The sequence below is a fragment of the Homo sapiens genome, chromosome 1 (assembly GCF_000001405.40).
Source record: "Homo sapiens chromosome 1, GRCh38.p14 Primary Assembly".
Classification (NCBI taxonomy): domain Eukaryota; kingdom Metazoa; phylum Chordata; class Mammalia; order Primates; family Hominidae; genus Homo; species Homo sapiens.
The window spans coordinates 16968458-16981975 of NC_000001.11; the positions used below are offsets into that span (position 1 = coordinate 16968458).

General features: G+C 60.1%; 2 protein-coding genes and 1 long non-coding RNA gene across 15 annotated transcripts in view, besides 5 other annotated features; 2 read left to right on the plus strand and 1 right to left on the minus strand.

Annotated features, from left to right (window-relative positions):
• Positions 1-4507, plus strand: part of CROCC (ciliary rootlet coiled-coil, rootletin) — a 58880-nt gene extending 54373 nt beyond the window's left edge. For 5 of the 9 annotated variants that reach the window (XM_047435134.1, XM_047435120.1, XM_006711058.4 and 2 more), the window contains 6 exons: positions 659-883; positions 1328-1477; positions 1796-1996; positions 2179-2310; positions 3008-3190; positions 3903-4507. In XM_047435134.1, coding sequence (XP_047291090.1) covers positions 659-883; positions 1328-1477; positions 1796-1996; positions 2179-2310; positions 3008-3190; positions 3903-3989 — 978 coding nt within the window. In that variant the 3' untranslated portion in view covers positions 3990-4507. The remainder of the gene's footprint in view (positions 1-658; positions 884-1327; positions 1478-1795; positions 1997-2178; positions 2311-3007; positions 3191-3902) is intronic. The other 4 variants (XM_047435136.1, XM_047435115.1, XM_047435135.1 and 1 more) reach the window with 2 other exon arrangements.
• Positions 3581-4558: an enhancer, noted in NCBI's record as "H3K27ac-H3K4me1 hESC enhancer chr1:17298533-17299510 (GRCh37/hg19 assembly coordinates)". NCBI's record gives its function as "activates a minimal SCP1, AML or CMV promoter by ChIP-STARR-seq in naive H9 embryonic stem cells {active_cell/tissue: H9 hESC(naive)}" and the evidence as "EXISTENCE:reporter gene assay evidence [ECO:0000049][PMID:30033119]".
• Positions 5993-6800: an enhancer, noted in NCBI's record as "H3K4me1 hESC enhancer chr1:17300945-17301752 (GRCh37/hg19 assembly coordinates)". NCBI's record gives its function as "activates a minimal SCP1, AML or CMV promoter by ChIP-STARR-seq in naive H9 embryonic stem cells {active_cell/tissue: H9 hESC(naive)}" and the evidence as "EXISTENCE:reporter gene assay evidence [ECO:0000049][PMID:30033119]".
• MFAP2 (microfibril associated protein 2) lies at positions 6045-13126 on the minus strand. 5 transcript variants are annotated; one of them, NM_001135247.2, is made up of 9 exons: positions 13057-13126; positions 9780-9857; positions 8652-8738; positions 8440-8466; positions 8251-8337; positions 8044-8088; positions 7186-7273; positions 6812-6885; positions 6045-6566 (listed from the first exon to the last, which is right to left on the minus strand). In NM_001135247.2, exons 2-9 carry the CDS (start codon positions 9814-9816, stop codon positions 6463-6465), a joined length of 549 nt encoding a protein of 182 aa, NP_001128719.1. In that variant the 5' UTR covers positions 9817-9857; positions 13057-13126; the 3' UTR covers positions 6045-6462. The 5 variants fall into 5 exon arrangements, with proteins under 5 accessions (NP_001128719.1, NP_059453.1, XP_047276983.1 ...); NM_017459.3 differs by having other exon boundaries at positions 8652-8741; XM_047421027.1 differs by having other exon boundaries at positions 8652-8741; positions 12494-13126.
• On the plus strand, positions 7404-9338 carry LOC105376806 (uncharacterized). Its single transcript, XR_947003.3, has 2 exons — positions 7404-8105; positions 9212-9338. It is a non-coding gene; the product is annotated as an uncharacterized LOC105376806 (long non-coding RNA).
• Positions 9925-10430: an enhancer, noted in NCBI's record as "H3K4me1 hESC enhancer chr1:17304877-17305382 (GRCh37/hg19 assembly coordinates)". NCBI's record gives its function as "activates a minimal SCP1, AML or CMV promoter by ChIP-STARR-seq in primed H9 embryonic stem cells {active_cell/tissue: H9 hESC(primed)}" and the evidence as "EXISTENCE:reporter gene assay evidence [ECO:0000049][PMID:30033119]".
• Positions 10431-10938: an enhancer, noted in NCBI's record as "H3K4me1 hESC enhancer chr1:17305383-17305890 (GRCh37/hg19 assembly coordinates)". NCBI's record gives its function as "activates a minimal SCP1, AML or CMV promoter by ChIP-STARR-seq in naive H9 embryonic stem cells {active_cell/tissue: H9 hESC(naive)}" and the evidence as "EXISTENCE:reporter gene assay evidence [ECO:0000049][PMID:30033119]".
• Positions 10939-11444: an enhancer, noted in NCBI's record as "H3K4me1 hESC enhancer chr1:17305891-17306396 (GRCh37/hg19 assembly coordinates)". NCBI's record gives its function as "activates a minimal SCP1, AML or CMV promoter by ChIP-STARR-seq in naive H9 embryonic stem cells {active_cell/tissue: H9 hESC(naive)}" and the evidence as "EXISTENCE:reporter gene assay evidence [ECO:0000049][PMID:30033119]".

A 13518-nucleotide genomic window follows, 5' to 3' on the forward strand; every position in this document is an offset into this window, starting at 1 on the left:
CCCTGTGCCAAGAGCTTTGTAGGCACTACGCAGTCCCCCAACAACCCTGTGAGGCAAGTATTACCCACATCCCCATTTCACAGATGGACAAATGGAGGCTGAGAGGTGATGTCATTGTCTAAGATCCCATAGCTAGTAAGAGGCAGAGCCAAAATTAGAATTCAGGACTATTTGATGACAGCATCTGCATACATAGGAGTCATCTGGGACAAGTTAGAGATGTAGGTTTCACTCATTTCCCTTTTTGCCTTGACTGCTAGGAAGCTCAGCTCTAACTGGAATGTTAAATAATACGGCTAGCCTTGCCTGAACACCCAACAAGGTCAAAAATAAAAAAATTTTAGGGTCGTGGTGGTTTCCCTTTCTCTTCCACAGCAGAGAGGAGAGAGGAGTGAGGACAGGGAGGAGACCAGGGAGTCTGAGACAACTAGGTTGATGGCACTCTGGGCACTAGTAGTTAGCCAGCAATGGGATGGGGCCCAGGTGGCAGTAGGCTGAGCCAGCAGGAGTGCTTAGGAACACTGGGTCTCAATGATGGAGGCCCAGAGAGAAGTGGGAAGGGTGTGGATTGGGCATGCCAGGTGGAGGTCACAGTGGGAGCAGAGGTATAGAGGCCAGATGGGAACAGCCCCGATTGTTCTGGCTGTCCTCCTGCCAGGTGGCCGACAGCGAGGTGAAGGCAGGGACCCTGCAGCTGACCGTGGAGCGGCTGAATGGGGCCCTGGCTAAGGTGGAGGAAAGCGAGGGGGCCCTGCGGGACAAGGTGCGGGGCCTGACAGAGGCCCTGGCCCAGAGCAGTGCCAGCCTCAACAGCACCCGGGACAAGAACCTGCATCTGCAGAAGGCTCTGACCGCCTGTGAACATGACCGCCAAGTACTCCAGGTCTCGGGCCCAGGGTCTGGCTGGGGTGGGCCCAGTGAGAGAGTCAGCCAGTAAGAGCAGGCTTGGAGGGGGGCCCTGGTAGAGAGCCAGCCAATGGGGCAGTCAGTTGGAGCCAATGAGAGCAGGCTTTGAAGGGAGGGCGTGGGCCCAGTAGACCATCAGCCAAGGAGAAGAGGCTCTGGGTATGTCCCGTAAGAAGACAAGGCTACTGGTATAGACTTGGGGGGACCCAGGGGCAGGGTTTATTGGGGAGAGTTGGGGTCTGAGTGGGTCCCACCTTATGCAGGTCAGTGGATAGGCCGTGGATGGGTTTGGTGTGCACCCCACCCTCCAGGTGAGATGACTGCCTGTTTTATGCTCTGTGGACCTGTCCAGAGGTACAGAATAGAGAGGACTCCTTAGGGCTCCCAGGCCAGCCAGGCACCATCAGCCCCTGTCCCCCAGGAACGGCTGGATGCCGCCCGGCAGGCATTATCTGAGGCACGGAAGCAGAGCAGCTCCCTGGGCGAGCAGGTGCAGACGTTGCGAGGCGAGGTGGCTGACCTGGAACTGCAGCGGGTGGAGGCCGAGGGCCAGCTACAACAGCTACGGGAGGTGAGGGCCAGGGTGTGCCCCCTCTGTCCCCAAGACTGTGAGGCCCTAGGATAGGGTGGGGACGTTCCCACCCATCTCAACCTCATCCCAAACCCTGGTGCAGCCTCCAGTAAGGAAACATGGTTCATTCAGAGCATAGTCCTGTTATACAGATGGAGAAACAGACTGAGAGAGACAGGTTTGGCTTCAGGTGACAATTCTCTGATGTGGGCCTCACCGTCGCCTGCTCTGTGAGTGGGCCAGCCTCATTGTCCCCAAGCTTCAGATAAGTATGCTCAGGCCCAGAGGGATTCGGGGCCTGCCTGGCTTCTGTTGCAGGTGCTGCGGCAGCGGCAGGAGGGTGAGGCTGCAGCCCTGAACACCGTCCAGAAGCTGCAAGACGAGCGGCGGCTGCTGCAGGAGCGCCTGGGAAGCCTGCAGCGCGCCCTGGCTCAGCTGGAAGCTGAGAAGCGGGAGGTGGAGCGCTCAGCCCTGCGGCTGGAGAAGGACCGTGTAGCCCTCAGGAGGACGCTGGACAAGGTAGGCTGCTCCCCAGGCTCTCCCCTCACTTCCTCTGGGGCCTAACCGTGGTGGATCCCACTGCACATCCCCAGGGTCTGCTACCTCTGGTGGGGTTAGGTTATTCCATCAGGGTTCAGGAACCTGAGCCCCCTCAGTAAGCTCCTCCTGGCACCCTGATCTCCTGTGGCTCTCCTGCCTAGGTGGAGCGGGAGAAGCTTCGTAGCCATGAGGACACAGTGCGGCTGAGCGCAGAGAAGGGCCGCCTGGACCGCACCCTCACGGGGGCTGAGCTGGAGCTGGCAGAGGCGCAGAGGCAGATCCAGCAGCTGGAGGTCTGACCCCACCCAGTCCGGGACCCCAACTTCATCCCTAGTATGAGTGCTCAGCAATTCCAGTGGAGCTGATGGCCCAGCCAGCCCAGGGCCCATAACCCCCTCCCCCAGGAGCCCTGAGCCTTCCAGTGACCCAGCGGGCCATGGAGGGATGGGTTCTCCCTAAGGTGTACAGAAAAGACACGAAAGGCCTGTTTGCACGTGAGCCTGTGGGTTCATGTACGTTGTGGCCATGCAGCAGTGTGAGAATCCATGTGACGATTCTTGTGTATGGAGCATGAATCTTGTGCATGGTGTGGCGTGTCTAGGTATTATGAATATGTGTTTGTGTACAGATGTTTTCATGCATGGGGGAGTTGGGCCTTTGCACATACACATGCACCTGTGTGAGTCCAGATAGGTATTTACATGCTTGCCTTTGTGCCTGTGTGTATGATGTCTGAGTGTGTGTGTGTGTGTGTGTGTGTGTGTGTGTGTGTGTGTGTCCATGCACCTGCCTGAGTGGGGGTCATTGGGTGCACTCATCCTGGGCTCGCAGGCTCACTGTCAGGGCCAGCAGGATGGAAGACACACAAGGATCTCTCCTGCCTTCCCCCTCTGCACTGGCCGTGTCCCAGGGAGGTACCTGACAACCCGTCACACATGCACACACACACTCACACTGGGCCAGAACGCGGACCACAGCCCCTCCCTGCAGGCGCAGGTGGTGGTGCTGGAGCAGAGCCACAGCCCGGCCCAGCTGGAGGTGGATGCGCAGCAGCAGCAGCTGGAGCTGCAGCAGGAGGTGGAGCGGCTGCGCAGCGCCCAGGCGCAGACTGAGCGCACCCTGGAGGCTCGGGAGCGGGCCCACCGCCAGAGGGTGCGTGGGCTGGAGGAGCAGGTGTGCAGGCCCCCTTAGAAGGCTGGGCCAGGATGGATGTGTGGGGCTGCAGAAAGAGGAGAGACCCAATCAAGACCTTGTGGGTATAGGCAGTCGATGGCTCCCGTAACCGAAAAGGGTGGGGTTGGCTCTGCGCTGGTGTCAGCCAAGACCAGACCGGGGCCACGGGATGCTCCTGGGCCCCAGGCCTCCTGCCATGGCTCTGTTCCCCCTGGCTCCATGCTCAGGGTAGCCTTCTCCCTGGGTGGCCAGGTGGCCTCAGCAGCTCCAGCCTCAGGTTCTCCCAGCAATCTGTCATCTCAGAAGAGAGCAGGGGCAGAAGTCCTAAGGCTGTCCCTCACTGGCCCGCTCAGATCACATACCCCTTCCTGACCATGCCTGAGCCAGCCTTGTCGGCCGGGCAAGGCTTCTCTGCTAGGCCGGGCTGGGTCACATGTCCACCCCTTGGGTCTGGGCTGAAGCCACGCCCACCCAAGTGATGATGGGGATAAAGAATGGGGGTGGAGTTGCCCTCAAAGGTGCCCAACAGTCAGAAGACGCCTGACTCTGCTATAAGGAACAAAATGAGAAAGGCAGGACAGCCCCTGGCTCTCAGTGAGACCAGACCTTTCCTGAAACTGTGGCACTGTGTCCCTCCGGGTTCCCTGCTGCCTCCCTTTCTCTGAAGCCAGGCTGAGGACCTGGCTGGCCTTACCTTCCCTTTCTTCCCCAGGTGTCCACACTGAAGGGCCAGCTGCAGCAGGAGCTTCGAAGGAGCTCAGCACCCTTCTCCCCACCCTCCGGCCCCCCAGAGAAATGAGCTCCTGCTGGCATCTGGAGAACACCCCTGTGCCTGGGACAGGGGAGGACCCTTCTTTTGGACAGCCCCCCCACCCAGAGCCCGGTCCCTTGGGGGCCTCAAGCTGGGGTGGGATGAGGAGGCGCTCTGCTGGCAGTGCTGAGGACGGGTACTCCAGCTCCAGGCCTGGAGAGGCTTCCCAGCAACACCTGCAGTCCAGCCCCCCTCTTCTAGGATGAGCCACTGTAGATCATTAAAGTTCCTCCTTGAGAGGCTGAGCCGTAGCCAGGATTGGGGAGAGCCCTTGTCTCTGGTCAGCCCTGGAGCATGGGATCGTGGGAAAGAGGAGGGGGACCAGGCCCAGGGCAGGGGTCAGAGGCCCAGGCCCTGACTTCGGCTTCCCAGAGATCTCTCCGCCTTAGTTAAGAGCATGTGTCGGGAAATTCCTCAGAGTGCTCAGAGTCCCTGTATTTTTATACCTTTTTACAATGTTAACTGTTCAGAACTGTTTTTTGTAACAAAACCTTGTTTTTAAAAAAGTTTGTACAGCTGTGTCCCTTTTCTAGACAATTGGAGGAGACGTCGGGGGGAGACAGGTAGGGTCTGGGGCAAGAGGGATGGGGCCCTCTAGGGAGGGGTGCTTGGGGAGGCGGCAGGGAGAGCAGAGAGGCCGGTATTGGGAAGGGAACTTACCAGCCTCACAGAATGTCAGATGGGGAGGCCTCTGGGGTACTCGGTCACCCGGCCCATGGAACAGATGGGGCTGTTGAGGCCTGGGACTGGGCCCAGCCTGTGCACCTCGACTCCTTCCAGCCTATGCTTTCTTGCCCCTTTCTCTGGCCCCTCCTTAGATCCAAGCCCACCCTCGGGACAGTGACAGGCCTTCCAGGCAGCATGGCAAACAAGTGCAGGTTTGGATGTGAACGTGGGGTCTTGCCCTGGCACCGCTGAGTGATCCTGAGCAAAGCTGCTTAACCTCTTAGAGCCTCAGTTTGCTCATCTGTAAAATGGGAACCTAACCGCATAGGGTGGCTCTGGGGAAGTTCACATAGGAGGTGCTCAATCAGTGTCCGAAGGAGAAATTAACACTCATCCTCACCTGCTGGAGTCCAGCTGACCGATTCAGCCACAGCACTGCCACTGATAGCTGTGGACCCGTGGGTGGGACCCTTGGGTGGGTTACTTAACGTCTCTGGGCTCAGTTTTCCTGTCTCTAAGAAGGGGATATGAATTGCATCCACCACATATGCCTGTTCGGACGGCTAAACAGGAGTGTGTGAGCCTTCACACACAGAGCCCAGGCCCCACATGCTGGTTGGAGGGAGGTGTTACAATGGCTTGCTTGTTTTTGCCCTTTTTTTTTTGAGACACAGTCTTGCTCTGTCGCCCAGGCTGGAGTGCAGTGGCGCGATCTCGGCTCACTGCAACCTCCGCCTCCCAGATTGAAGCAATTCTTGTGCCTCGGCCTCCTGAGTAGCTGGAATTACAGGCACACGCCACCACGCCTGGCTAATTTTTTTTTGTATTTTTACTAGAGACGGGATTTCGCCATGGCCAGGCTGGTCTCGAACTCCTGGCCTCAAGTGATCCGCCCGCCTCAGCCTCCCTAAGTGCTGGAATTATAGGTGTGAGTCCCTGTGCCCCGCTTTTTTTGCCCTCTTAATGGCACCCATCTCCCCAACTTCCCAAACAAAGGCCTTGGATGTCAGTCCGCCTGCCTTGACCCTGTGCCCCCCCCACCCCATGGGCGGCCTCCCATTTTTGCTGTGTTCCTCTGGTGATGGGAACTCAATGTGCTCACCAAGCAGCCCCGGTCATCAGAAAGCTGTGTCCCTGAAGCCTTCCATCTCCCGTGCAATTCCCACAACACGCATGCGCGCGTACACTGTCATGACGCAGCGTTCTGGGCAGGGCAGAGCTGGAGCCGGCGGGTAAGGCGGTGGGGCTGGGACTGCGGAAGCACAGGGCACCTGAGCAGATCGTTCACTCCAAGGGGTCAGGAGCCTCTCAGGACAGTCCGCGTTGGGGGCACTTGGCTGGCCCCTCTGTGCTCTCCACCGAAAAAGTGACTTGATCTTTTGTAAAAACTTGTTTTTAATTTTGTATAAAATAAAGGTGGTCCATGCCCACGGGGGCTGTAGGAAATCCAAGCAGACCAGCTGGGGTGGGGGGATGTAGCCTACCTCGGGGGACTGTCTGTCCTCAAAACGGGCTGAGAAGGCCCGTCAGGGGCCCAGGTCCCACAGAGAGGCCTGGGATACTCCCCCAACCCGAGGGGCAGACTGGGCAGTGGGGAGCCCCCATTGTGCCCCAGAGGTGGCCACAGGCTGAAGGAGGGGCCTGAGGCACCGCAGCCTGCAACCCCCAGGGCTGCAGTCCACTAACTTTTTACAGAATAAAAGGAACATGGGGATGGGGAAAAAAGCACCAGGTCAGGCAGGGCCCGAGGGCCCCAGATCCCAGGAGGGCCAGGACTCAGGATGCCAGCACCACCCTAGCAGCTCCCACAGCTCCTGGCACAGGAGGCCGCCACGGATTGGCACAGGCCGCTGCTGGCCATCACGCCACATTTGGAGAACTTGTCCCGACAGAGGTCAGCTATTGGGGGCAGGAAGGAGGCAGGGTCAGGGTGGAGCTGGGTGATGGGAACCGCTGCCCCTCCCCCAACTCTGGTGATGGGAGTGTTTTGAGGATGAAAAGTAGCAAGGAGGGGAGCTCAGGGTGTCCTGGAAGTGGGCCTGGTGGATAATATGTGTTGAATAAACATCAGGTGGGTGGCTAGGTGGCCAGATAATGATGCGGGTGTGGGGACAGGGGAGGTCTTGGGGAGGTGGCCTTCCTACCTCGGAGGAGCTCCTCATGGGCACACACTGTACGAACACAGATCTCCTTGTTAATGACGTACACACGGCGGAGGCTGCGGGGACAGGGCACGGGAGGTCTCAGCCCCACTTCCACCCAATCCCACTGGGATAGCCCAGACAGAACCTGGCACGGGAGCCCGGACAGAACCTGGCACGGGAGCCCGGACAGAACCTGGCACTGGAGCCCAGGAGTGGAGGAGGTCCCTGGCCCAGGCTCAACCACAGAACTGAGCTCAACTTAAGGACTCACTATCTTTCCTCCAACTCCCACCTTGGCGGGCCAGAGCTGTCCCCTGTGCCCTCTAGCCCCCCATGCTCCGGAATCCTCCCGACAGCTGCCCATCTGTGCTCACCTGTAGAAGCAGACCTCGTTGAGACACTGTTTGCAAGGCCTGTGTATGGAGTAGAGGCGGGTGCACGGGTACTGTTCCTCACGGCAGTCTGGTGACAGGTGGGGTCAGACTAGGAGCCCAGAGTGGGGGGCGGCCCCCAGCCTCACCCACCTGAGGCTGGCTCACAGGGCCTAGTCCCCCCTGTACCTTCAGGCCCCGTGCAGACACCCATACCTACACATGCCCACATAGACCCACGCAGCATTGTCAGACTTCCCAGGGCTGTAATATTCACGTATCAATTCACAACCGCACTTACTATAGAAGCCTAAGTTCAAACAGAAATTTGCACCCACCCATGCATCGCCACAAAAGCCCATACCAACTCCCGAGCAGACGTGCCCACGCTCACAGAAGCCCACATAGGAGCGCTCACACCAACCCACACGAGAGTGAGCACACGGATTCTCCTGCACACACACACCTTGTTCTTTCAAGCTCTCAGCTAGGGCAGCCGGAGGGCACCGCTCAGCCAGCCTGCACTCCCTGGCCCTTCCTCGCCTCCACATGTGCACCACTCAGTCTCTCTGGCTGGCAGGAAGCCCCCAGCACACTCCCTGCCCCTCCCAGTATCTGTGAGGTCAGGGGCCTTCCTAGGCTGCCAATTTAGCCTCCAGCCAGGCACACTGGGGACAGGTGGGACCTCCTGGAGCTGCCTGGGGGGCCTGGTGATGCCAGCCTACGGCAGTCATACTGCCCACACTGCCAAGAGCCCACATGGGCAAGGGCCAAAGACCTCCAGCCCACCAGCACCACCCCCTACTCCACCCCAACTTCAGGGCGTGCCTCCATTTTTCCAGCTGTCAAGAAAGCCCTTACCAAGAGGCCCAGGCTCTGTGGGCTCCAGCTCTGCATTTCCTGGTTCTGGTGTGGAGACAGAGGTAGGCAGACATCACTGGGAGGGGTCTCCTCAGGGCAAGGGGAGTCACCTCTCCCAGCCCTGGCAGACCCCCACTCCCAGGGTTGACAGGGTGGGGAGGGGTGAGGCAGGAGCTGAGACGGGTGGGAGCAGGGTCTGGGGCCTACCTGGGGTTGGGGCTGGGATGACTTCCTGTTGGACTTGCTGCTGGGACTGGAACTGGAACTGTTCCTCGGAGGGCCGAGGAGTCACCTCTGCAGCCAGGGGAGGATAAGGGGGTCTGCTCCCTCTACCCCTCCCAGGGGGTCTCCCCACCCCAGCTGCCGGCCCGTCCTATCCTACCCCTAGCCCGTTACCTTGATAATCATAGTAGTCTGGGTTGTCTGCAAACAAAGATGAAAGTGGAATTGGTGGGAGTAAGGCTAATCCCCCAGCCCCTGGGGCAAACAAGTTCCCTCCTGAGCCAGGGACCAACCCCCAGAGTTCCCATCAGCGTGTCCAGTGCGGTCCCTGGCTGAGCCAGGCACATCTGAGCAGCCAGGCCTCGGTGACCCGGCAAGGCCCTTACCGATCTGGTCGCTATAGTGGGTGTACTGGACGTGGTCAGGGAACGGCGGCAGCGGGTCCAGGTCATACTGGCCCTGAGCCAGCAAGCCTGCTGTGGGGAGGCAAAGCATGTAGGGTACCCCATCGGGAGGGGCAACGGGGGCCCGAGGCGCTTCTGGAGAGTGGAGGCGGGGGTCACAAGGTCAGGCCCATAAGAGCCTAGGACCCCACAAGCAGATTCCTAGAGGATCCAGACTCTTCTTCGATGGTAAAGACCCTTCCCCACCCTGGTCATGGGTCACCTCCCTGACCTTACCCTGCCCCTTCCTGTTGCTGGCCTCCTGGCTGCTCCTAGGACTCCACATGCTCCTGCCTCCCTCAGAGCCTTTGCACCTGACACTCCCTGGGCCTGTGAGGCCTGCTCAGCTCCTTCAGGTCTTCCCTGGAATTTCAGCTGTGCCAAGATGCCGCCCCACCTCCAGCCCACCAGCCCTCCTGCTGATTTCTGTCCAGCACTCAGCACATGCTGGAGTTTCTCATGTCTGCTTGTTTCCTATTTGTCTCCCTTCCCTGGACTGGCAGCATGATGAGGAGCAACGATGTGTCTGCCTGGTTCATCGCTGAATCCCCAGGGCCTAGCCCAGCACTTGGCACGTGGTAGGGACTCAACACATCGCTGCTGAATGAATGAATGTTGGCCCTGCTAGGACTTTTGTGGTCCTCATTGATTCTCTTCATTTGGCCAGTAGGGACCCCCACAAGGTCAGGACTGTATAGAGCAGAAGGGCCCTGAATGGATCTAGAACTCAAGCATCCGGACTCCCTGCCTTGGGTGCCCCTGCACCTGCACATCGGCTCCCAGAGAGGCCTTGTGCCTTGTGCCCACGGAGTCCTTGTGCCTGGGACGTGCCCTCCAGAACCCTGCCTGCCTGCTGCTGTGGAAGGCTGGGGGAAGGGCCAGGAGCTGCCTCCAGATGCTGCCAGGGTTGGCTGGTCCAGTCTGTGGTCCAAGCAGGCAGAAGGCCCTGGGAGCTGGGGAGCTGAGTTCTGGTCATAAGTCGTGACAAAGGCTCACTATGAATTCCCCCTACTAACCCTACTCCTCAGCCCCACATAAGAGGAGCTACCCCCTGCCCCAGGAGCCACTTACCAGGCAGGAATAGCAGGAAGAGGTAGGCAGCTCTCATGGCAACAAAGAGGCAGGCCGGGGTGGTGTCAGAGAGGACAGCTGGGGAAAGACCGGTGGGAGAGCTCTACCCAGGGCCACACCCAGGACAGCAGAGCTCACCTTTGATCCCCTGATTTCGCCCTGGAGAAGGTGGCACCCAGAATAGAAGCCAGGCATGGGAGGGCTGGAGTGGAGGGACATCCCAGTCCCTGCTGGCCCACCCAGGTGTTCAGGTCACAAGGGACAAGGCCTCCAACCCAGCTCCAGGGCTGATCCTGACAAGCAAACCCCGTGTAGTGGGTGTACTTGATGTGGTCAGGGAAGGGCGGACCCTGCCCTGCTCACTAAGGGGACATTCCTAATGTGCTCCCAGCCCAGGCCATTCTGTCCTCACCCACACCCGTGCTCAGCCCTCTGGCCCAGTGGCTCCCTGGGTGTCCAAGGCACTGACTGCGTGAATCACTGAACCCAGGCCCATCCTTGGGACCCCAGCCCTGGCCAGCCGGCATCACCGCCTGGACTCAGCAGCTTCTGCCAAGCCACCACCTGCTCCCAATTAGCCCCTGGGCCCTAAGCATCCTGCTCAGCAGGAAACCACATACACATGGGCCTGCCCGGCCCCCAGAGCGGCCAGGCCGGGCAGGGCTCCCAGCTCCCAGAAGACTCCTCTCCTGCCAGGCCTCCAGGCCTCGCAAGACCTGGCTGTGTGCATCACAGGCTCACGAGACCCGGGCTATTTGCAGCAGCAGGAAGCACGAGAGTGAAGCCTGAGGGGGCTCCTCTGGATCCCAGAAAGGCAGCACTGAAGGGGCCGTGACATCACCCAGGCTGGGGGTTCTGCACCCCCTGACACTGTAGGCAAGTGTGTGTGTCATTTGGAGGGAGAGGGCATGGGGTCCGTGGCTTTCATCAGGCTCCTGACATTCAAGAGCCCAGCCTCCAGTCCTGGCTACACGGTGGGACTTGGGGGAGCCTCCGGTTCCCCACATCCAGCCCCAGCTCAGTGGAGGGCCACCTCAGGTCCGTCAGCCTTCTGTAGGGAGGGCTGCGAGGGCGGGGTCCATCCAGGAGGGCCCCTCCCGGCTGCAACCCAGGAAGTCCTTTCAGAGAGCTAGCTGGAAACCCCAACTTTGGTCTATTTTCCCCACTGGGAGTCCAGGGAGAGGGGAGGGAAAGGGGAGAAAGCAGGAGGTCTTTCCCTCCTTCCTCTCAATCCTGAGGCCTCCTGACCCCCTGGCTCCTCTCATGCATTAGGCACCTCACTAAGGTGGAGTGGGAGCCGGGAGACGAAGCTCAGGACCAAGCTGCCCCAGAGGCGAGGGATAGCTGGCTCCCCACACCCCATTCTGAAAACCCTTGACCTCCTCATGGGAGGGGGATGAAAAGACCCAGAGAGCCTTCCTTGCCCTTCTCCCCATCCGTCAGGTCGGTCGGAGCCCCCGCTGCTCAGCAGAAGGCGCTGAATTGGGGCAAGAGGGGTTGCAAGGTGTTGGGGGATGCCTGTCGGTACCCTGCGGGGAGTCTTCCTCCCCTAGGACTGGCCCCCGAACCCAGGCTTATTGGGGGAAGGAGGCCCACGGGCTAGCGGGGAGGCAGGAAAGAGAGAAGTCAGTGTGGAGTTCATGAACTCCTCCCACGGGACCACATCTCCGAGCTCTTCTAGACGAAGGGGTTTTGGGGCGTGCGGGAGGCCAGGACCTGCCTGGGAGGCTGCCCCACCCCCACCTCTGGCCTCTTCCACAGCTGCGGCCTCCCCCACCCCCGACTCCCCTGCGTCCTGGGAGGTGGGGGACAGGGGGCCCCGACGCTCGCTCAGACATCAGACGGAGGGAGGGCTCTGCCGGCTCCAGAGCCGGGCTCAGGGGGAGGGGTCCCGGCGGGAGAAACCCAGATGTTGCAGCGCCGCACAGCTGGGAACAATCAGCCGCGGAAACTTGCTCCGCGCGCCCTCGCGCTCCCGTCTCTGATCTCTCTTTGTCTCTCTGCGTCTCTGTCTCGGCCATTCCCACCGGACCCCCCCCCCCCACCCCACCCGCCACATTCCAACCTCCCCGGGAGAACAAAAGATGTCCCATCCCCCGACGACCTCACCTCTGGCTCCCCCCAAACTCGGGCTCCCCGCCCTTCCCAATTCGCGTTCTCTCTGCAGAGCAACCCCAAACTTTCCAGGTGCCCCCTTGGCCTCCGCTCTGAAGGCGCGGGGTTCAGGAACCTCCGCGGCTGCCCCAGGATCGAGGACCCAGAGAGCCTGGCACCCTCGCCCCCGCGCCGGGGGACCCGCCGACGCCCCTGACCGCCCCCCGGGGCCCCCAAGCGCCAGGCCCGCGCCTACCTGTCCGGGTCACTCCGCCGCCCGCTCCGAGTCCGCCCGCCGGAGCCGCCCCTTGGCCCGCTCCGAGTCCCCCTCCGGGCCCCCGACGGGGCTGGCGCCCGCCCTCCAGCCCCGGAGCCGCTGGGTCCTAACGCGAGCTGCCCGCATGGGCCGCCACGCCGTGCCCTCGGGGTTCCATCTCCTGGGGGGGGGGGTGTCCCCGGGGTAGAGGCGCCCGGGGCCGTCCTCACGTCTGTGCAAAGCTTCCTCCTCCTCACAGCTGCTCCTCACTCGACGTCGACGGGGTGAGGGGGGTGAGGTGGGCAAGGGTAGGTGTGTTGCCCATTTCACAGAGGAGGAAATCAAGCCTCCCAAAGTGACTCACCCTAGGCCCCTCAGCCAGAAAGTAAGCCTCGATCTCCCTCTGCCTTCTCCCAGCTTCCAGGACACTCTCCTGCCTTGGTTTTCCTTCTGCCTCTCCAGCCAAGCCTGCTGCCTCTCTCAGGCCCGCACCCTCCTCTCCTACACTGCTGAGCTCTGGGCCATGGCTGGCTTCCACAACCAGCGGTTCTTTCTTTCCTTTTCTAGAGACAGGGTCTTGCTGTGTTGCCCAGGCTCGTCTGGAACTTCCGGCCTCGAAATTTTGGCCTCAAGCATTCCTCCTGTCTCATCCTCCTGGGCTGTTGGGATTACAGGCATGAGTCCCTGCCCCCGGCCATAACCAGCACCTCTTTCAGCCCTGACCCAGCCTATGTGTCCCACAAATGTCCTCAAGATGCATCAGCTTCAACAAGCATCCAAGTCCAAATTCACGACCTCCTAACTCTCCCCCAGACCTGGCCCTCCAGGATTCCCAGTCCCCCCTTGGCCCCGCAGCCTTCCATTACCCAGGCTTCCTCCCCTGCCCTTAGCCCTGCATCTAATCCAGCACCCACCCGTGAATGCTACCTGAAAAATTTCTTTTGTGACTCCGTTCACTGCTCCCACCCTGGCCTAAGCCACTGTGAGACCAAGTTGCAATCCCAAGAAACCGCATTTGCTCTTTCTGCTTGTCAGAAGCTGACAAAGCCCTGACTCAGTGACTGGGGGCAGCCCAACGGAAGGATGCCTTGAAGATGGCAGGCAGGGCAGAACACAGGCTCCCACGCCTCTTGCCTGAATCACTGCATTGTTAGAAAATATAAGTTAAATGATCCTGGCTGTGCCTTTTCCTGTACATAAGATAGCACCTGACAGGATTGACGATTATGCCTCTATAATCTATATAACTAGGTGCATCCTCGAACCCAAACCTTGGCGAGATTTGCACTAGTGTAGCTTCTGAAGACATTTGATGTAAATTTTTCTTCTTCTTTTTTTAATGAGACCGGGTCTCGCTCTGTCATCCAGGCTGGAGTGCAGTGGCACCAT

Excerpts from the sequence above, each read along its gene's own strand:
- MFAP2 (NM_017459.3), bottom strand. The coding sequence starts at position 9,816 with ATGAGAGCTGCCTACCTCTTCCTGCTATTCCTGCCTG. Across the intron at positions 8,467-8,651 it reads CCACTATAGCGACCAGATCG|ACAACCCAGACTACTATGAT; the intron begins GTAAGGGCCTTG and ends CTTTGTTTGCAG. Across the intron at positions 6,886-7,185 it reads AACGAGGTCTGCTTCTACAG|CCTCCGCCGTGTGTACGTCA; the intron begins GTGAGCACAGAT and ends CTGTCCCCGCAG.